Source organism: Homo sapiens, chromosome 10 (genome assembly GCF_000001405.40).
Source record: "Homo sapiens chromosome 10, GRCh38.p14 Primary Assembly".
NCBI classification, from domain to species: Eukaryota; Metazoa; Chordata; class Mammalia; order Primates; family Hominidae; genus Homo; species Homo sapiens.
In genome coordinates, this window is record NC_000010.11 from 79,280,271 (window position 1) to 79,298,257 (window position 17,987).

A 17,987-nucleotide genomic window follows, 5' to 3' on the forward strand; every position below is an offset into this window, starting at 1 on the left:
GCCGGCCTATTATTATTTTTAAAAGACAGGGTCTCACCCTGTTGGACAAGCTGGAATGCAGTGGCACTATCATAGCTCACTGCAGCCTCGACCTCCTTGGCTCAAGCGATTCTCCCACCTCAGTATCCTGAGTAGCTGGAAGCATAGCCATGCACCACTACACCTGGCTATTTCTTTATAGTTTTGTGGAGATAGGGTCTCGCTATGTTGCCCAGGCTGGTTTCGAACTCCTGGGCTCAAACAATCCTACCACCTTGGCCTCCCAACGTGCTGGGATTACAGGCATGCACCACTACACCTGTCTGACACAGGGGTAATTTTTCTTGGTGCAGGACTTTGCAGGGCATTTGGCGTCTTGGTCCCTACCCACTCTGTTCTTTTTTTTTTTTTTTAATGCCCACGCTTGGTTAATCCCACCCCATTCTTCTGATGACTGCCCTCTTCCCCTAAGCATTATCACAATAAAAGTACCCTCCCACATTTGAGTCTCACCTTTGGTTAAGGACCGCTGCTCTAAAAAGACAAAACCTGCCTCCACCTCCCTCTGTGTACCCTTTGCTAAAAGCCACAGTTTGTCTTCATCTGAACCAAGCCGCTGAGCACAGGCTGCAGCTGCATTTCACTTAAGCAGCATACCTTGCAGTTGCCCTCGGGAAGCTTTACCTTATTAATTCTAACTCAGCCGTCCATCCCTCCAGAATCATCCTCCTCTCATCATCCTATGTGTCATGACCTTCCCAAGCTTCTCTCCTCCAAGTTATTTTAGTAAAGTTGTTGCTTATGGTGGGCCAGAGCCCTGCAGCTCCCCACTAGGGACCAGCCTCAGACCTGCTTGACCGTGATTGTTCAGGTCACAGAGTGCCACAAATCTGGATCTCGGCCAGCCCTTTGCCAGCTGAGTTGAGCTAAGGCATGAGGTTGTTCGGTCCCGGGGTTAAACAGAGATGAGGTATTTCTGTGCTCGAGGAGCAGCCTCAAGCTAGTTGGGGAAATAAGACTCACTGGGGCCACGTTGGAATCTGGCAGAGCAGGGCAGGACTAGGGTTCATTGACAGGCAGACTGGGCTTTGGGGTTCAGATGGAGGAAGATGGACAGGGCTGACTGTCAGGAGGCTGCCCAGAGGATGGGAGTCTTGAACTTGAAGGACTTCGGCTGGGAGGGGTAGTTGCATTCTATGAATTCAAGCTGGCTTTCCCAAGAAATGTTATGGGCCGAAGAGCCACTGGCCAGCACCCAGTGCCCTGCTGCCTCCATCACCATGGCCTCAGCTCTCTGTAAGTCCAGCAGAATGACCTAGAATGCAAAGCCAGTGGTCTGAGAGCTTGAAGACCAGGCTGGCACTTACTCTTTGGGCCATAAGTGGTCTGTCAGAGAAAGGAAAGCTGTGTGGGCTGGAAGACTCGCTGAGTACTGGTGGCTAACCAGTCGGTTCCGTGGAGCGAGGCTTCCTCGTGGGAGCACAGGGAGGTGGAGGGCCTGCTAGACAACATCCCACACTTTGAATGGCAGAACTGGAAGGAAAATTGGGCCCAGAGTAGGAAAGTGAATTGCCCCAGAACACACAGCCAGTAAAGGGCAGAGGAAGATATTAAACAGCGCACAGGGCTGTGCTATTTAGCTGGTCCTTCAGGGTCAACGAGGTGGTATCTCGTTGTTAACCCAATTTGGAGGGTCTTTTTAGAAGAGGGTCATCTGTTCTGATCCACAGCTCACCTTTTTCCCATTTAATAGCCCGTGTTCCTTCTCCAAGCCCCAGGCTATTCTGAGGACACGTTGTGGTTAGGCAATTGAAAGTTACACAGTCTCTCCTTGCAACCTTTAGGAATTTCACAAAGGATAAATCCCTCATTTCCAGGGAAACTGCAACGGGGTCCAACACCTCATAAGTCCTCAGTGCAATTTCCCAAACAAGACGGAAAGAAAATGGAAGAGAAAGCTGAGCGCTTTCACAATTAGCAAACTGTTTTAGTCCGTCATCCTCCATAATTTTATTGAATGGCTTGGAGGCAGGAAGCTCTTTTTGCCTTTTCATTAAGGCGACATTGAGCTGGAGGTGAGCTTGGGTGAGCTGGGACAGTTGAGATTTGATGCCCGCAGGTATCTGGCTGTTTGAAGGCTCTGGGTCTTTGTCTGAAGGCTCTGAGGACGAACAAATGGGAGAGGATGAGGGAGCCTGGACACTTGCAGCCCCGCCCTGCCCCGAGGGACGGCAGACGCCTGGAGGGTCCCTGGTGACTGTCATATTTGGAGAGCTCGGGTGTCACAATCATGTCTGCTGCAGGCTGCAGAGCTTTGGCACTGCGGCATGAGGCTGTGAGTCAGGGCCTGCTTTCTTCCACACAAATGCTGTGCCTCCCAGCAAGACCCTTGACCTCTTGGCCTCGTGGTTCCCTGCTGATGGGGGACATGGTGCCGCATGAGCAGGATGTCAGGAAAGGGTCAGGCTGCCATAGCCCCGCAGCTATATCTGGGGGTAAGGGTGGTGACGAGGAATACTAATTATCCTCAGTTTGTGGACGTCTGTAGGCTCACTCCCTGTTTTGTCCTCATCACTGGCTGCAGTGGGGCTGCCGTCTATACTCACAGATACCCAGGATACTATACAAGAGAAGGTGGCCAGAGAGGCCTGGCAAGGTCCAGGACCAGTGCCTGGGCAAGTAGGGCACCTTCCAAGTCCCTGCAGTGACCTGGACTTGAAGCCAGTGAAGTCTTTCAACCTCCTTCTTCCAGATTTTTAATGAGTGGTTTAAAAAGCCATTTGTGATTAGCACATTGTCCTTATGCAGATCAGTGTTGCAAAGGTAATTAAAGGCCTAATAAATCTTGTTTATGCTGTTAATTTGATTACAGTCAAAACTCGCTAGGGCTGGGGAAGCCTCCAAGATTGAGAGGTGCCTTCCTCCTTCTTATAGGTGCGGGATTTATGAACCCCAACAGAGAGGCTTCTGGGCGGGAGGGCCCCTGGCATCCCCTGAGTATAGCAGGTCGGGGAACAGGCCCTGGAGCCAGGCTGCTGGGCCTTGAGTTTCAGCTGGGCCATATTCTAGCTGGGTAACTGGCCAGTTACTTACCCTCCTTGTGCCTCGGTTTCCTCATCTGTAGAAGGGGAGTGACAACAGTGGCAGGAGTGGTGTGCTTGTCGCCAAGCCTGGCACACTGGGAGCCCATGGACCAGTCATTATTCCCCTGATCCTCAGCCAGGTGCCATCAAATTCTTAAGTGCTTATTCATGGCCAAACAAGAAAGAAGGGGGCAATCAAAACCAGCCACATCACACCATCTCCACAGCTGCCATTTTTAGCTCGGTTTTGCATAGCTTCACCAAAGCTCAGTTTATGTTAGGGCTTTGTTGCCCCAAGAACATTTTAAAAACAAAAAAAGAAGGAAAGGGGAGAATTGAAAGACCCATAAATCCCTGCACCATCAGTTCCAGATGGCCAAGATGCAAAGGATTTTTTCCTTTCCTCCTTCCTACTGAAAAAGTTTTAACACCCTCTAATATGCAGTTAGCTGCACAAGTTCCTAAGTTTCACCGCAGGGAGGGAAGGAAGTAGGCCCCAGTAATTGTGATGATGGAGAACACTGTTAATGGTTCCCCTAAATTAAACAGGGTGGGAGCTTCAGCTCCTCACTGGCTTGGCATTTCATTAGCAGTAACACTACAGCCTTGCACGGAGACGGGACCAGTATGGCTGGATCAGGGAAATTAATTAGAGTCTGACAATACCCTTAATGGAAATTGGTTATTTCTCCCAAATAAAGCAGCTATTACAAGTGCAAGGGAAGAAATAACTCAGCCCTCCCCCCGCGTTCCTTTCATGAATGTGTGTGTAGATGCTGCCATAGCGGGTGCACAGGAGCCAGGAATCATCACTGCCTTATCCCAGGCCTTGCTCATTTTCTCACATTCAGCAAAACCTCGATCATTGCCCGTGGAGCTGGCACAGACATGTAAACTGTCTACTGTGACTGCAGTGCAGAGAGCTCTCTATAAAATACGTGAAAAAAGTGCTGAGGGAACAGAGGAAAGTGTCCTTGGTTCTGCTTAGGAGGGTCCTTAAAGGGAGTATGCAGGCTGGGCTTTGAAGTATGGATAGAAGTTTGCTGGCTGGTGAAGGGAAGGCAGAAGAAAAATGAAGAAAGTCTCAGAGGCTTGAGAAGCACATTTTTTCTAGTTGACAGGTAGGAATGAAAACGGCTCCTCCCATTGGTAGCATATTTGAAAAATTCCTAGGCCACTTTCATTGTATCCTGAAGTAAACAGGGGTAGCTGTGTATGGCTGGTTGGAGGACTGGAGAGAAAGGTGTAAGTACAGTTGAGCAGGGTCTTTCTACCAGGTTCTGTGCTAAACTTTACTTTTTTCTCATGTTTCTTAGGAAAGTGTTAGTCCCACTTTACAGATGAGAAAGTTGAGGCTGACTGAAAGTAACATGTCCAAGGCCACAGAAAGCTTCAGTGGCAGAGCCAGGGTTTGACCCGGAAGACTGTAACTCCAGAGCCCACATAGGGAACCTCTCTCCTGCTGGGCCTCCCTCTGTCGGCTGAATATTAACCTCAAAAAGGGGTCCCTGAATCTTTGCCAACACGGCCAGTACAAGCTAAAGCAGACGATTTAGTGTATAAAGAAATTCTTTCCTGGAAGACTATTTGGGTTTTCTCTGCAGCTGGGCTTTGAGGCCCATCTTTACATTTCCCCTGTCCCTTCGTGCTAGGCGACTTCCCCAAGAACCCCCAGGAAGATGCAGCCCTTCTTGGAATTCTTGTGGCTTCTAGGTGGCCTCTGCAGTGTGCTCCCTTGCCTCGTGGCCATCTCTGGAGAGGGGAGCGTTGCCTTGCTGGATCCTAAGTTCCTAAGACAGTGGTGAGCCTGATACGGTCTGGTGACCCGGCAGCCTTGCCCTTGATTGGCTCTGCTACCTCTGTGAGCCCCAGCTTCTAAGATGGGCATCTGTTGGGCCCACTTAATGGGGCACTGAATGAGTTCTTAGGTGAAGGCCACTTCACAAAATTCCTTGCATCTAGAAGTCACTCAGTAAATCAGAACAACAGTAACAGCGGCAGCCAGCAGTTTCAGGGTGTCCAAGGTGTGCGGGACTCTGGGCCTCATACATGTTAGGCACTTACACTTAACCCTCACGGCAGCCTTCGAAGGGAGGGGCTGAATCAGCCCCATTTCATAGATGAGGTTGCTGAGGCATACAGAGAGTGAGCAGTGGTTTCATCGCTTCCCTCTGTGTCCTTCTCTCACTTTCTGGGCCCCAGTGGCCATGTGGCCACAGACACACTGTGTAGGTGGTCGGTCATCAGGCTTAACGAAATGGACATATTCATTTTCAGCATCACTCCAAGGGTGAGTGCAGAGAGGTGGTTTCTCCCTGGCACATTTTTTTGTTTAGCAAAGGTTTCCTGAGCCCTATTGGTGTGTGAAGACATCATGCTTGGCTCAGGGAGCCCAAGAAATCAGTGACAGCTCCTGAGGCAGAAGGGAGAAGGCAGAGGGTTCTCACTCTTGCCAGGAATGCGAAGAGCCAGTGGAGTTCAGTACCTTCTGCAAGGGCTTCCCGGAGGAGGTGGCCTTTGGAAGAGCCTGGAAAGGATGAATGGCATTTTCAAGGTGGGATGGAACTTGCCAGCCTGAGAAGAGGCACAGAGGCCCCTGTATTAGGGAGCAGTTGGCAAATGGAACCGTTGCTGCTGACATTGCAGATGGCTTCTGGCCTTGGTGCTTCTGTGGGTGGAGCAGGATTGTTGGGGCCGTTTTGGCTGGACAGGACTGTGGCTGGGAGCAGCTTATGGTGTGATACTGGGCAGGCCATGCTGGATTAGGGTTGTACAGAGTGGGACAGAATTATTAAAAAATGCCAAGCACCTGTGACCAGGTGAAGCAAGTCTGCAGGTTAAACTGTGCTCGTCGGAGAGAAGAAGGGCTCTCAGGCACCCTCCAGACCCTCCTCCCATCCCAGCCAGGCCATGCCTTTCTGGTAGCAGCCCAGGGGTCTGCTTGGTCCTTCATCCTTGGGAACAGGGACCAGGCATTCCCCCGGTGGTGGTATCTTGAGTCTAGGCAGTGGCGTCACATCAGCAGGGCTGCTGTGGGGGCCTGCGGGGGCGAGAGCCTTCTCTGCGACAGCAGGAGCCCGTCTCCCCCAGAATGAGATGAGTCACGGTCCTGTCGGTGCGGCTGCCACTTCTGCTTCTGCAGCAGGTGCGTGTGGAGGCAAGCTAGTCCTGAGACTGCCCCACACGCTGTGCCTGTCTCTTCCCCAGTGCACGGGCAGCATGCCAGCAGGGCCTCGCGTGTGTGCACGGATGTGTCCTCCATATGCCTGCGTGCATCTTTGCTCTGGGGCGGCAAACCTTCCAGCCAGGCAGTGGGATGGCCAGTTTGGGAACGTTGGTTAGCTTTGCTTCTCACCAAGTTTGGGGCAGAGGGGACAAAACAGGAAGGAGCTGGTTTCCGCCCACAAGGCTCACCCACGGAGCTGCAGGGCAGTTGGGAGCTTGTTCGTGGGCCTGTGTAGCGTCCTGGGCTGAGGTGATGAGGCAGCAGTTGCCCACTCCCTGGCCACAGGCAGGGCCCTGCCGGCCCCTGGGGCCTCCCATGGGGGTTCATTTCCTGAGCCTGGCCAGGCATGTTCTCAAAGGATAGGAACTTCCGTCTCAAGGCCATCAGCCTGGAGGGTTGGTGGGAACTTGTGGGGCAGAAGTTCTGGGGCGAGAAGCCACTCAGGCTTGGGTTTTGTTCAGATGTAGGGGACCCCCTCTGGTCATCCAGCACACCTAGGACATGGGCCTTGAGGACAGCAGGTGTCCAGGGGATCTCCTCTTTGTTTTGTAAAAGCGTGACCTGTAGAGCCTCCCTGTGAGACTCTGGTGTGCCAGTCTGGAACCAGGTGGTGTGCCGGGTCCCCAGTGACCTCCCTGGGAGACAGAGGCTGTTCCAGCCCAGCCTTCCTGAGGAGCAGGCTCATGGCTACTTTCCTGTGTTTCTCTGCACTGCCCACTCCCTCTGGGCTCCCAGTCTCCAATCCGCCACCTGGAGAGCAGAGTCTGTCGCTATCTGTCACCTTTGGCCCAAGCATCTGGATCTTCAACAAGCCACTACCCATCATTGTGCCTGGCCAACTGAGTGCCCTGAGTACAGCTCCTCTACTCCAAATGCGAGTCCTGCAGTTTCCCCAGAAATCACGAGCAGCGCTCAGTTGGGAAAGCCCTTTGACTGCATTCTCCTCTTTGAGCCACATCAGATTTAGGCTGCTGAACCTGTGTTCAAACCTATTTGACCAAGATCCACGATAAATACACATACGACACCTTGACCCAAGGTGCACATGTATTTGTGTATAAAACCAAGACAGAAGCTCAAGGACTAATCTTCATCTTTATTGTGTGCTCACACTCCATCACTTTCTAGTTGATGCTTTTTTCTCCCCTGCTGGTTGGATGTCATCACCTGCTCAGATTCTGTAACCCACAGTTGGAAAACACAGAGTAGAGTGGGGAGGTATCATCTGATGCCCATTTTACAGATGAGGAGATTGAGTGAGGAAACTTGCACCAGGGTCCTAAGCACAAAAGTCTCTGCCGTCACAGAGCTGTTCTAGAGGCAGACAGACAATAATCAAAAAAATATATAATTAGGACAGTGGTGGAGTGCTATGAAAAAAATTCCAGTGCCAGGGTGAGGGGGCAGGCAGTGTCGGGTAGGAGCTGCTTTTTTATACGAGGAGGGCGGGGGAGGCCCCTCCAGCGATCTCAGACAGGAAGAAAGCGAGGGGCTGGCCAGGCTGAGAAATCTAGGGCAGAGGGTATCCAGGCAGGGGAGGGGCAAGTATGAGCAGACAGTGGTGTGGTCCTGCCCTCCAGGCTGGTCGCCTCTGCAGGAGCCCGTCAGACTTGACCAGCATTGCCAAGAGCTCAGCCGGGCAAGGCACAGAGCACAAGACTTGGCTGCCCTGATCTCCGCTGCCTGCGGGTCATGCAGCCCTCCGCCTCCCTCTGGGAAGTCCTCACCTCTGGGCTGGGCTCCTTGCATCCCCAGAGGTGCCTCCTCAGCACCTCCATCCCCAGTTGCCCTGGCTGCTAGGGTTGGACTGGCCACTCAGCTAGGGTACAAGTCTGCCAGGTGTGACTGAGAACCTTTGCCATTTGCTGTCTCCTGTGACTAAGACAGACACAAGCCAGACAGAGGCATGAGGCTCTTTCCTGTTGCCCGGCCCTTCTCCCAATTTCCCTCCCCCAACACACATACGCACACACACATACACACACACACACCCTGTGCCCTGGGTAGAGGCAGTGGCACAGCTGTGGGCGCTTTGCTTTTCTGCTCTTCCTGGTTCCACATCTAGAATTTTGTGACTTGGTGAGGGGGTGGTGCCAGAGAGCCAGTGCCGGCTCTGGTGGGAGAGGCAGCTTCATCCCCAGCCTCCTGGGGGCTGGCACCCTGGCAGGTCTTCATGCCCTGCCCCTTCGCTGGGATCTGCTGGCCTCACTCTTGTGCACCCCAGCAGTCGGTAGGAAGCATCACTGGACACTCACTGTAGACCTAAGCACAAGAGGTGGGGCTGAAGGCTAACTCCTTGCTTCTGATACGTGAGAGCTCCTTGGGGAGATGTCCACAAACGTGGTGGGTACTGCTGGACCTGGTGAGGGGAGGAGGGGAAATATGGTCCGGGTTGGTAGAGAGGAGGCAGTGTTTAGGGGCAGGGGCAGCTCCACGAGAGGACAGAGCCAAAGCGGGGTGAGGGAATGGTGGGGTCCGCCAGAGGAGTAAGTCATTCTTAAGTGTGTGTTTGGACTCTGCCTTATAAATGCTGGAAGCCACCAAAGGTCTTTGATTGTGCCAGGCATCTTAGGTGTTTGAGGGAGATTAGCTTGGGGAAAATGTACATGAGAGATCGGGGTGGGGGCAGGAGAGGGTGTGCAGCAGGTAGGCCTGTACCCACATTGCTGGGGGCTGGGAAGGAAGGGTGCCGGAAGAAAGCCTGCATTCCCATGGCCCAGGCAGCCAGGCTGCTGTGAAGGGCTGGGAGGTAGAGGGAAGGGCTGACACCCTCAGACTCGGACCCTTCCAGCCTGTACTGAGAAGGGACCAAGCAGTTCCAAGGGTAAGGTGGTTTGGGGGAGCCCAGGCTCTTCCTAAAGGGCAACGTGGAGTCAGAGCCCGGGTGAAGGAGGAGCTCAGATTGGGCCTCAGGTCACACCACTTCATCAGTTGCATGACCTGTGGACTCGGGGATACAGGGAGACACACAGCCATGGAAGTAGCTCTCTGCAGTGATCGGGGGAAAGGTGGCCACTTCTGAACAGCCTGTCACCATGCAGGGCACACTGTTGTGCACTGGGCACTGAGACAGGCCTGGGGGGTCCAGTACCGACTCGGATGGGGGTTACCTTGGACTGACTGGGAGCTGCGGTCACTTGGTGGGGTGATGGGCATGGCCTGTCTTGAGTCTGTGCCTGCCAGGCCCTGAAGATCTCCCTCTGTCTCCCTCTGCAGTGATGGGTCGTTCCCCTATGACTCTGTCCCTTGGCAGCAGAACACCAACCAGCCTCCCGGCTCCCTTTCCGTGGTCACCACGGTTTGGGGAGTAACCAACACATCCCAGAGCCAGGTAAGAGCCTATACTGCCCTCAGCCACAGCTCTTTCTAGGCGGGAGTGTCCCTTGACCCCTGGAGCCATACCAGCCCTCTTCACCCTCACAGGCCTTGCCCTGCTGGAAAGACCAGCTTCCAGGGCACACCCAGCTGTGGACACGTCTCCACCCCTGGCAGGCTCTGCACCCGCCTCAGGAGGGCAGCCTCTATGGACTGTCCCCATCCTAAGGCCTTTCTGGAGGAATGGCATTCATCTGACAGACAGCAAGGGGTTCTTCCCTAGCCCATTTGCTCTGGTAAACAGGAGAACTTCCTCTGTGTTACTGGCTTCAGGGCTCCAAGGTCTGAGGTCTCTGACCCTGGATGTATGGCCTGAGTTGGATTTCATCAAAATATTGTGCCTTGGACTTCTGACAACTCCCTACTCCCCATTGCCCTAGTCAGACCCACCTCCCTCTCATTCCTTCCTCTCTCTTCCACTCCTCCTCTGCCCAGTCAGGGAGTCTCCCACCTGTCTGACCTCTGCCAGCCTTTTCTGTGGCTACATGGAAGGCTCAGGGCTGCTTGTCACCCTGGAGGGAGCCACTGGGCTGACCGGTTGTCGCCTGCTCCTGCTGCCCTCCAGAGCTAGCAGGGTGGGTTCCTCTTGGCCCTCACAGAGCAGCAGCCAGGGGCCTTGGGGCCCCTGTGTGACAAGACGCTGGCATCCAGGCTCGTTTGTGGGGCAGTAGGCTTCATGGCCAGGGCTCTCCCCACGGGTACCTGGTACAAGAGCAGCCTCTTCTCCCTTCACTGGGCTGCGCAGCCCCTGGGGACCGCTTGAACTGGCTTTGTGGGGCTTGGTCATACCCTCAGCTTGTTCCATCACAAGGCTGACGTTCTCATCCCCCACGCCACCTGCCGCCCAGGCCCGCTCCTTATCACCGGTACACTCAGAATAGTTCATCCACCCTCCATTTTTTTCCTCCTCCCTGTTGTCCTGCCTCCACTTTGTTCTTTCTCCCTTTCCCCTCTTCATTTATCCCTCTTCCTCTCCACACTGCCTCGGGTAGCACCTTAGGTGACAACCACTTCTCTGCCCACAGGTCCTTGGGAACCCTATGGCCAATGCCAACAACCCCATGAATCCAGGCGGCAACCCCATGGCGTCGGGCATGACCACCAGCAACCCAGGCCTCAACTCCCCACAGTTTGCGGGGCAGCAGCAGCAGTTCTCAGCCAAGGCTGGCCCCGCTCAGCCCTACATCCAGCAGAGCATGTATGGCCGGCCCAACTACCCCGGCAGCGGGGGCTTTGGGGCCAGGTGAGCAGGGCTGACCTGTGGCAGAAGCCATGGACGCCACCCCTCTTCCTCCTTCCAGTGGGGAGGGACCCACTTAAATCCCAGCTCCACGCTTTCTGCCCTGAGAAGTTATCCTCTGTTGTTACATGAGTTGAAGGGGCTCAGTCATCCCTGGCTCCCAGGGCTGGCCTGCAGATAAGGCGCTGCAGCAGTTGGCCTGTGTTCTGACAGTCGTCAGACTCGTAGAAATAGAGAGGTGACATTCTTACTCCTCAAAACCTCAAAACAACCCTTCTCTAAATTTTGTCTTTAATGAATAGGAAAATATTGAGAAAATCTGGATTGGGAAAGTCGAAGAGCAGGTATAGATGGGGTCCAGTTGCCCAAAGACAGTGAAGCAGTCTGGGAATATCTGCTCTGCCTTGCTGATTGGTGAAAGCAGAACTATGCAGAGACTGCGAGTCCCTTGGCTGGGAAGAAAAGGGCAGGGACTCCCAGGATATGGAGCTCTGGGGAGTGGTGTGAGGCGAGCAGAGGTGCCCATTCTCCTCTTTCCACCCCGCCCTGCCTAAGACCCCCACCTTGGCCTCAGCCCTCACCAGCCCTGGCTGGGTTTCTGGCCTGGGGTTGGCACAGCTATATGACCTGGTGGTTAAACACAGGGATCAGAAACACCTGCAGCTGCAGCCGCAGCTCCGCCATCAATGCTGCAGGGCCTTGGGCAAGTTGCTCAGGTTCTCTGAGACTCAGTGTCCTTCAGAAGATGGGCTCACCAGGGCCCCGACAGCATGCAGTGAGGGTGCAGGCACCCCCAAGGGCTCCAGGAGCACAGCAGCCTGGTCGTTGCCAAGTGGCACAAATGAATGGCTGCCAATCCCAAGAGGCCCCGTCCCCTCTAGGTTCTGGGTACAGCTCCATCATCTCCCTTCCAGCCCACAGCTTGCCCTCAGTTCCCCTCAGATGCAGGCAGTACCTAACTCTTCCACCCTTCTCCCCCTGCAGTTACCCTGGGGGTCCTAACGCCCCCGCAGGCATGGGCATCCCTCCGCACACCAGGCCGCCTGCTGACTTCACTCAGCCCGCGGCAGCCGCTGCAGCAGCGGCAGTGGCAGCAGCAGCAGCCACAGCTACAGCCACAGCCACGGCCACTGTGGCAGCCCTGCAGGAGACACAGAACAAGGATATAAACCAGTATGGACCGGTAAGGGTTCCCACTAATCCTGGTCCAGCCTTGCCCAGCCAGCCAGGCAGACAGCCCTGGGAAACCAGAGTTGGGATGTCAGTGCTTATGGGGCCATGTGTGCTGGGAGAGCTGACTGCATTAGGGTGCATTTGGGCTTTCATGGAAGCATGTGGAGGTCTGTGTGTTTAGAATGGCGCATGTCTAGAATGGGGCGTGTCAGTGTGCTTGGGTGTGGTGGGGTGTATGGGTGCTGGTGTTTGTTCTGTGTGTTGGTGGCTCATGTACAACTGCATATGGGGAAAAGGTTCTACATGGCTCTCTGGGCCCCCAACTCACCAAGGAGTGGGCTCAATGTCTAAAAATAGTCTTGTGACCGGTCTGTCTCCTGGATTGCCTCTGAGACCAGTGCCCTCCTAGTCACCCTATCTGTGGGTCTGCGCAGGCCCCAGTGCTGCTCCCTGACCTTCTGAAGGATGGGTTAGGGGATGAGGAGAGGGGAGCCCCCATAGGAATGCAGAACAGGAGGTGAGGAGGTGGGAACTGCAGGGCAGAGGGGCAGAAGTGGAAGCTGGGCTGAGGCCAACTTTGGGGATGGAGGGTGTGCCTCCACTGGCCCAGGACCAAGGGCAGGGCCAGGGCTTCCAGGAAAGGGGCTGCAGTCTCACTCGGGCTCCTGCCTCCACCCTCATCTACCTCCACCCTCCCATACCCCTCCCTGTCCCTGCACACTTTCCTGGTTTTCTGCCTGCCTCCCTCCCTGGAAATGCTGCCTGTGCATCGGAGTGACCACCTCACCCCACCCCACCCCATCCCCTAACACCCCTGAGCTGCATCTCTCCTGTGCGGCTGCAGAGGGCAGCAGTGAGCCTGGGTGGATCCTGCTCCCCTGGGGCCTGGTTGGTCACCAGTCACTGCCGCACAGGACAGTGCCCCCTCCCCACTCCTCCACCTCCCCAACCCTTCCCTCCCTGCACTTTCAATGCATGTGGCATTTTATTCTTTTTTTTTTCTTCTCCCGTTGAAGGTCTGTTCCTCTTTCCAGATGGGTCCCACCCAGGCGTATAACAGCCAATTCATGAACCAGCCCGGGCCGCGGGGGCCTGCCTCCATGGGGGGCAGCATGAACCCCGCGAGCATGGCGGCTGGCATGACGCCCTCGGGGATGAGCGGCCCTCCCATGGGCATGAACCAGCCCCGGCCGCCCGGCATCAGCCCCTTTGGCACACACGGGCAGCGGATGCCCCAGCAGACCTACCCGGGCCCCCGGCCCCAGTCCCTTCCTATTCAGAACATAAAGAGGCCATACCCTGGAGAGGTGAGTGCAGCAGTGGGAGCCTGGGAGGTGGGAACTGGGACACCTGGGCTTGAAGACATGGGCCGTGGGTACGGCTTTGGAAGGGGTGTGGCTTGGACTCCAGCACACTTGGACAAAGAGGCAGGGGCTTAGGGGTCAGGTGCTCCTGGGTTTGAGACCTGGTTCTGCTGTTTCCCAACTGAAAGACCTCGAGCCAGTCACCCTGCCTCCTAGGGCTGCTTGAGGGACTTGAGGAGGTGTCCGTGAAGTGCTTGGCCCTGGGCTGGCATGTGCCGCCACTCAGCAAGCAGCAGTTCCTCTTACTGTAGTGACTCTTGTCTTGGCTCAGCCACTAACTGGGTGACCTGGGTTTAGTTCCTCCTGCCCACATGAGAGCTTCCCCAACTCCTCTCCAAGAAAGAGAGCTGAGACAAAATGCTTCCAGTCTATAAGGGCTGACCCGTCCGGGAAGTGACTGGAAGGCAGGCAGCGTGTTTCCAGTCTGTAAGGATTGACCTGTTGGGGAAGTGACTGGAAGGCAGAGAGCGTGTTTCCAATCTATAAGGACTGACCCGTTGGGGAAGTGACTGGAAGGCCGGCAGCTGTTTCCAGTCTATAAGGACTGACCCGTCAGGGAAGTGACTGGAAGGCAGACAGCGTGTTTCTTAGCTCTTGTTTCCATCCACACTTGGTCACTGTATAGGAAGTGGCACTGCCTCTTGGGCTGCACAGCCAGCTCAGCCAAGGTGTTGGGGAAGATTTGGGGAAGTAAAACCCACACCTCCTGCCCTCTGGGAAGTGAGGTTTTAGCAGGAAAGAAAAGTTTTTAGCAGAGACTCACCAGGGAATGAAGCATAGCAGACTGCACAGAACTCAATATGAGTCAGAGAAGGCAGGCTTCCTGGAGGGTGTGTCACAAGTAAATCCTCAGAAAATGATGCTGGCAGCAGCTGGCCCATCTGGGTACCCAGGTAAGGATTTAGTTTACCTGCAGAAGACGTAGGGACGTGGCTCTGCAGATGCCCCTCGTGAAGCCCTGGTTGCTCCCCACGACCAAGCCCCTTTTTGAGCAGGGTGTGCCCAGCTCTCTGCCTGCCTCCCTCCCAGCTTGCATGCCCACTCTCAGAGCAGTTTTCTCCTCCTAGCTCCTCTCAGCTCTGTGGCCTTCACCTTGGGTTCACAGCGGCTTTAGATTCCAAAGACCTTAAGTTCCTTGAAGATCTGCACATTTCCCCTCAGTATCCACCTTAGGATGGGCGGGGAGGCTTGGCAACAAGTGGAGGTATTCTGAGTTCAGGAGGGGAGAGAGAGGGGGGGGGGTCAGGGGCTTCCTCATGCATCCAAGAAGCTGGATCAAGCCCCAACCCTCCACCTGGTGGACACTAGTTCAGGGAGGGGCCAGAGAAGGACCATTGGCTCCTGGGTCCTGAGTTTGGGGGAGCCTCAAGCTATTGGCACCTCTCCTGGCACTCAGGCCCCATGCAGTTTCTAGGCCTTTTCTCAGCCACCCTGTGCTCAAAATCCCAGTGTCCCACTGGCTGTGCTGGGGGTGCATCTGTTAGCCCACGCCAAAGGAGGCAATCTCGGATGAGGCTTCAGCAGAATTCCTGGTCATTGGTGTCACCCCTGCACCTGCACCTGTGCCATGCTTATGGCTCTTGCCTGCCTAAAGAGAGCACACCAAAGGCTCTCCATATTTTTACTAAATTAATCATCCTTTTCATAGAGTGCTGCTGCTACCCAGCTACAGCACTGGGTGGTCACAGCCTATGCGGCCTGATCCTGTCTGGAAGACTGGCCTTCCTTCCCCTTGCCATGGCTTGTTCATACAATATTTGAATTGTTGGAGCCTTAGGACAGGGGTTGGGTCATCTGGTCCCACAGAGGACTCTCTTCTCTAGCTTGGTGGGCAGGTAGGCACCAGCTACGTCTTCTATACCTCCTGTGGTGGGTGCCTCACTGTCACCCAGAGCAGCCACCATGTTGCAACAACGTGAGTTGTAGATTCTTCCACACTGACACTTTCTGACATTTATCCCTAAGTCCATCATTCGTTTGTTGAGCAAGTATTAAGGGTATTTTCCCAGGCACTGGGGCACAGCCACCAACAGGACCTCTGGGCAAGAGAGACACTCAGATGGGGAAGAAGAAACCACTGACTCACAGGATGTCATGTGGCCGTGAGGGTCACCTGATTTTCCAGACAGGGAAGGTGGCTGGAGGGTGGTGCTCTCTCCTCTTCTCTAAATTGTCTGTCCCGGGAGAAGTTGTCTTGTTCCTTCACCAACCTGGCTCTCCCACCTCCTGCACAGGTGGCAGGTTGTCGATGGCCCAGAACTGAACACTAGGTGTGTGTTCTGCTCTGAGGGGAGTACGAGGACAATGCCACCCAAGTTCAGCCTTGGAATGCAGGGGCACAGGGGGCTCCTTTCTGGAATTGCATCCTGTTGACTGTGTTCCTCTGTCACATTGGGGTACACATTGGGGAGCACAGCCCTAACCCAGGCACCAGGAGAGACACAAAGGTCGGGGGAGTTAGAATCAGGCCCCTCATAATGGTGTGAGCAAGAGGCTCTGAAAGTGTCCCTGGAGTTCAGGGGCACATGTGCTCCAGGAAGAACGGCCTCAAGGGGAGGTGGCCTATGATCTGGACAGGCAGAACAAAATGCCCCTGGATGTCAGGACGAGAAGGGGCCCAAAGCATTATCTGGTTTTGTGGGTGGGAAACAGCAGGAGCAAATGAGGAGAGGCGGGCCCCATCCCGTTGTTCAGGTGACCTGGCTATGTGACGTTGGCAACATTGAACGTGTTTCCCCTCTCCTTTCTCTCCCACCACAGCCCAACTATGGAAACCAGCAATATGGACCAAACAGCCAGTTCCCCACCCAGCCAGGCCAGTACCCAGCCCCCAACCCCCCGAGGCCACTCACCTCCCCCAACTACCCAGGACAGAGGATGCCCAGCCAGCCGAGCTCCGGGCAGTACCCGCCCCCCACGGTCAACATGGGGCAGTATTACAAGGTGAGTCCCAGCCTCGCCACCACCCACGGGGCCCCTTCCCTCCTAACCACCTCACTCCCCTAACTCCACCGGGATCACTCTGACCCTGCGTGTGTTTGCCCCAAGGACAGCGAGGGGTGGGTGATTTCTGAACGTCCCCATGTGTTCAGGGCGAAGTTCGGTGGCCAGAATGTCAGAGTGGCTTTTCTCAGTTCCTATTCTCATTCGTCTCGGATGATGGTTTTTTTTTCTCCTTTTCTTATTCACGGCACTCACAAAATAATAAAGGAAATATATTTTATTAAAAAAACACACATCCCCTGTATATATTAACATTTCATTCTAAACTTTGTATGTGCAGGTGGGCACTAACATGTTATAAAATTGTTATTACAGCTGTAACTTTGAATCTGTACCTTTTACTTAACATGACATAATAAGGATGATACTTACTGCTACTAGAGCCCCTGGGGTTTTTACTTTTAATGGCTGCCTAATATTCTGCTGAGATCACCATATCATATTTTATTATTCCTTCTGTTAGGTATTTGGGTTGCTTCTGATTTTTCACTTTAGAAATAACACTATGATGAGTATCTTCAGGCATATAGCCTTTCCTTTCCTTAGGATTATTTTCTTGGGAGTAAAGAAGACACTTTATTATTTTACATTTATTTGCCAAAAATCATGCTAATTTATTATGGCCATCTACCAAACAGGTTTACCGTTTTTGCTCCAACTTCAGCATACTAGGTGTTGCTATTTTTGTAACTTCTGCTAAATTAATAGCTAGGGACAGAGAGAGGCAAAATGCCGTCCCTGAGGTGTAGCTGTCCCGCCCTGCTCACTCAATATACCCAGCAGTGGATGGGCCCCTGTAGCATCCCCGTGCTCCTGGTAGATTTTACTGTCCAGAGGGAGAGCGGGCTTCTGATGGCTTTTCTGCCCCCCACTCAGTGTTGTTTATCTTGTTTTAATAGCCAGAACAGTTTAATGGACAAAATAACACGTTCTCGGGAAGCAGCTACAGTAACTACAGCCAAGGGAATGTCAACAGGGTATGTTCCAATTTAATTTACAAATTCTAAGCCACAGGGAGTTGTTGCCTCTAAAGGTTCTCACTGTTCCTGCTCCAGCCTCTCTGGACATTCAAAGGGGCCCATGGGTGGGGGTGCACTCCCTGGTCCCCTGTCCTGGGGACAGAGATGCTCAGGACTGAGAATCCACGGCTCCAGGTGGGGTGAGCCCCAGGGTAAAGTGTCAGCCTGGCTAGTCTTGAAAACAAGGAGAGGGAGAGGGGTTCCTGGGGAACCTGGGCCCCAGATTCTGCAGGCCCCGACTCCACCTGGGGACCCTGATGGGGTAGGCATAGAGGGTGTGGCCTTGAGTCGTGATGTGGGAAGCCCACCTGCTCGGGTGACAGGAGGCCTGGGCTTCATTCCCGCTGTCCTGTCCTCCAAGGGTTGTGCTGAGCAAGTCCCCAACCCTGAGCCTCTGTGTCCCCATTTATCACAGGGATGGGTAAGGGTCTCCACAGGCACCTGACACAGGAGCTCAGTGGTGAGACCCAGATGAAGGGTGGGGAGGCCCTTCCCAGGGCTGTCTTCTGAGCAGGACAGAGATCT

At 54.3% G+C, this 17,987-nt stretch overlaps 1 protein-coding gene across 12 annotated transcripts in view, besides 16 other annotated features; it reads left to right on the forward strand.

Moving 5' to 3' along the window:
* Positions 1-17,987, forward strand: part of ZMIZ1 (zinc finger MIZ-type containing 1) — a 247,554-nt gene that overhangs the window by 211,305 nt on the left and 18,262 nt on the right. For 6 of the 12 annotated variants that reach the window (XM_047425538.1, XM_005269988.4, XM_006717925.4 and 3 more), the window contains 6 exons: positions 9,505-9,619; positions 10,689-10,906; positions 11,888-12,086; positions 13,093-13,383; positions 16,201-16,383; positions 17,343-17,420. In XM_047425538.1, the coding sequence (XP_047281494.1) occupies positions 9,505-9,619; positions 10,689-10,906; positions 11,888-12,086; positions 13,093-13,383; positions 16,201-16,383; positions 17,343-17,420 (1,084 nt within the window). The remainder of the gene's footprint in view (positions 1-9,504; positions 9,620-10,688; positions 10,907-11,887; positions 12,087-13,092; positions 13,384-16,200; positions 16,384-17,342; positions 17,421-17,987) is intronic. The other 6 variants (XM_047425539.1, NM_020338.4, XM_047425542.1 and 3 more) reach the window with 1 other exon arrangement.
* Positions 4,728-4,847: an enhancer, noted in NCBI's record as "active region_3639". NCBI's record gives its function as "activates an Ori minimal core promoter by ATAC-STARR-seq in GM12878 lymphoblastoid cells {active_cell/tissue: GM12878}" and the evidence as "EXISTENCE:reporter gene assay evidence [ECO:0000049][PMID:35858748]".
* Positions 4,962-5,462: a transcriptional cis regulatory region, noted in NCBI's record as "chr10:81044989-81045489 region (GRCh37/hg19 assembly coordinates) targeted for CRISPR interference". NCBI's record gives its function as "positively regulates PPIF gene expression in GM12878 lymphoblastoid cells {active_cell/tissue: GM12878}" and the evidence as "EXISTENCE:mutant phenotype evidence [ECO:0000015][PMID:33828297]".
* Positions 4,962-5,487: a biological region, named in NCBI's record as "CRISPRi-FlowFISH-validated PPIF regulatory element GRCh37_chr10:81044989-81045489". NCBI's record gives its function as "regulatory_interactions: PPIF".
* Positions 5,298-5,487: an enhancer, noted in NCBI's record as "active region_3640". NCBI's record gives its function as "activates an Ori minimal core promoter by ATAC-STARR-seq in GM12878 lymphoblastoid cells {active_cell/tissue: GM12878}" and the evidence as "EXISTENCE:reporter gene assay evidence [ECO:0000049][PMID:35858748]".
* Positions 5,701-6,351: an enhancer, noted in NCBI's record as "H3K4me1 hESC enhancer chr10:81045728-81046378 (GRCh37/hg19 assembly coordinates)". NCBI's record gives its function as "activates a minimal SCP1, AML or CMV promoter by ChIP-STARR-seq in naive H9 embryonic stem cells {active_cell/tissue: H9 hESC(naive)}" and the evidence as "EXISTENCE:reporter gene assay evidence [ECO:0000049][PMID:30033119]".
* Positions 5,701-7,002: a biological region, named in NCBI's record as "H3K4me1 hESC enhancers GRCh37_chr10:81046379-81047029 and GRCh37_chr10:81045728-81046378". NCBI's record gives its function as "regulatory_interactions: PPIF".
* Positions 5,898-6,517: an enhancer, noted in NCBI's record as "active region_3641". NCBI's record gives its function as "activates an Ori minimal core promoter by ATAC-STARR-seq in GM12878 lymphoblastoid cells {active_cell/tissue: GM12878}" and the evidence as "EXISTENCE:reporter gene assay evidence [ECO:0000049][PMID:35858748]".
* Positions 5,950-6,450: a transcriptional cis regulatory region, noted in NCBI's record as "chr10:81045977-81046477 region (GRCh37/hg19 assembly coordinates) targeted for CRISPR interference". NCBI's record gives its function as "positively regulates PPIF gene expression in anti-CD40- and anti-IgM-stimulated BJAB lymphoma cells {active_cell/tissue: BJAB(+anti-IgM and anti-CD40 for 4hr)}" and the evidence as "EXISTENCE:mutant phenotype evidence [ECO:0000015][PMID:33828297]".
* Positions 6,048-6,548: a transcriptional cis regulatory region, noted in NCBI's record as "chr10:81046075-81046575 region (GRCh37/hg19 assembly coordinates) targeted for CRISPR interference". NCBI's record gives its function as "positively regulates PPIF gene expression in GM12878 lymphoblastoid cells {active_cell/tissue: GM12878}" and the evidence as "EXISTENCE:mutant phenotype evidence [ECO:0000015][PMID:33828297]".
* Positions 6,064-6,564: a transcriptional cis regulatory region, noted in NCBI's record as "chr10:81046091-81046591 region (GRCh37/hg19 assembly coordinates) targeted for CRISPR interference". NCBI's record gives its function as "positively regulates PPIF gene expression in THP-1 monocytic cells {active_cell/tissue: THP-1}" and the evidence as "EXISTENCE:mutant phenotype evidence [ECO:0000015][PMID:33828297]".
* Positions 6,073-6,573: a transcriptional cis regulatory region, noted in NCBI's record as "chr10:81046100-81046600 region (GRCh37/hg19 assembly coordinates) targeted for CRISPR interference". NCBI's record gives its function as "positively regulates PPIF gene expression in LPS-stimulated THP-1 monocytic cells {active_cell/tissue: THP-1(+LPS for 4hr)}" and the evidence as "EXISTENCE:mutant phenotype evidence [ECO:0000015][PMID:33828297]".
* Positions 6,352-7,002: an enhancer, noted in NCBI's record as "H3K4me1 hESC enhancer chr10:81046379-81047029 (GRCh37/hg19 assembly coordinates)". NCBI's record gives its function as "activates a minimal SCP1, AML or CMV promoter by ChIP-STARR-seq in naive H9 embryonic stem cells {active_cell/tissue: H9 hESC(naive)}" and the evidence as "EXISTENCE:reporter gene assay evidence [ECO:0000049][PMID:30033119]".
* Positions 12,819-12,878: a silencer, noted in NCBI's record as "silent region_2538". NCBI's record gives its function as "represses an Ori minimal core promoter by ATAC-STARR-seq in GM12878 lymphoblastoid cells {active_cell/tissue: GM12878}" and the evidence as "EXISTENCE:reporter gene assay evidence [ECO:0000049][PMID:35858748]".
* Positions 13,486-14,247: a transcriptional cis regulatory region, noted in NCBI's record as "chr10:81053513-81054274 region (GRCh37/hg19 assembly coordinates) targeted for CRISPR interference". NCBI's record gives its function as "negatively regulates PPIF gene expression in LPS-stimulated THP-1 monocytic cells {active_cell/tissue: THP-1(+LPS for 4hr)}" and the evidence as "EXISTENCE:mutant phenotype evidence [ECO:0000015][PMID:33828297]".
* Positions 13,486-14,362: a biological region, named in NCBI's record as "CRISPRi-FlowFISH-validated PPIF regulatory elements GRCh37_chr10:81053513-81054274 and GRCh37_chr10:81053559-81054389". NCBI's record gives its function as "regulatory_interactions: PPIF".
* Positions 13,532-14,362: a transcriptional cis regulatory region, noted in NCBI's record as "chr10:81053559-81054389 region (GRCh37/hg19 assembly coordinates) targeted for CRISPR interference". NCBI's record gives its function as "negatively regulates PPIF gene expression in GM12878 lymphoblastoid cells {active_cell/tissue: GM12878}" and the evidence as "EXISTENCE:mutant phenotype evidence [ECO:0000015][PMID:33828297]".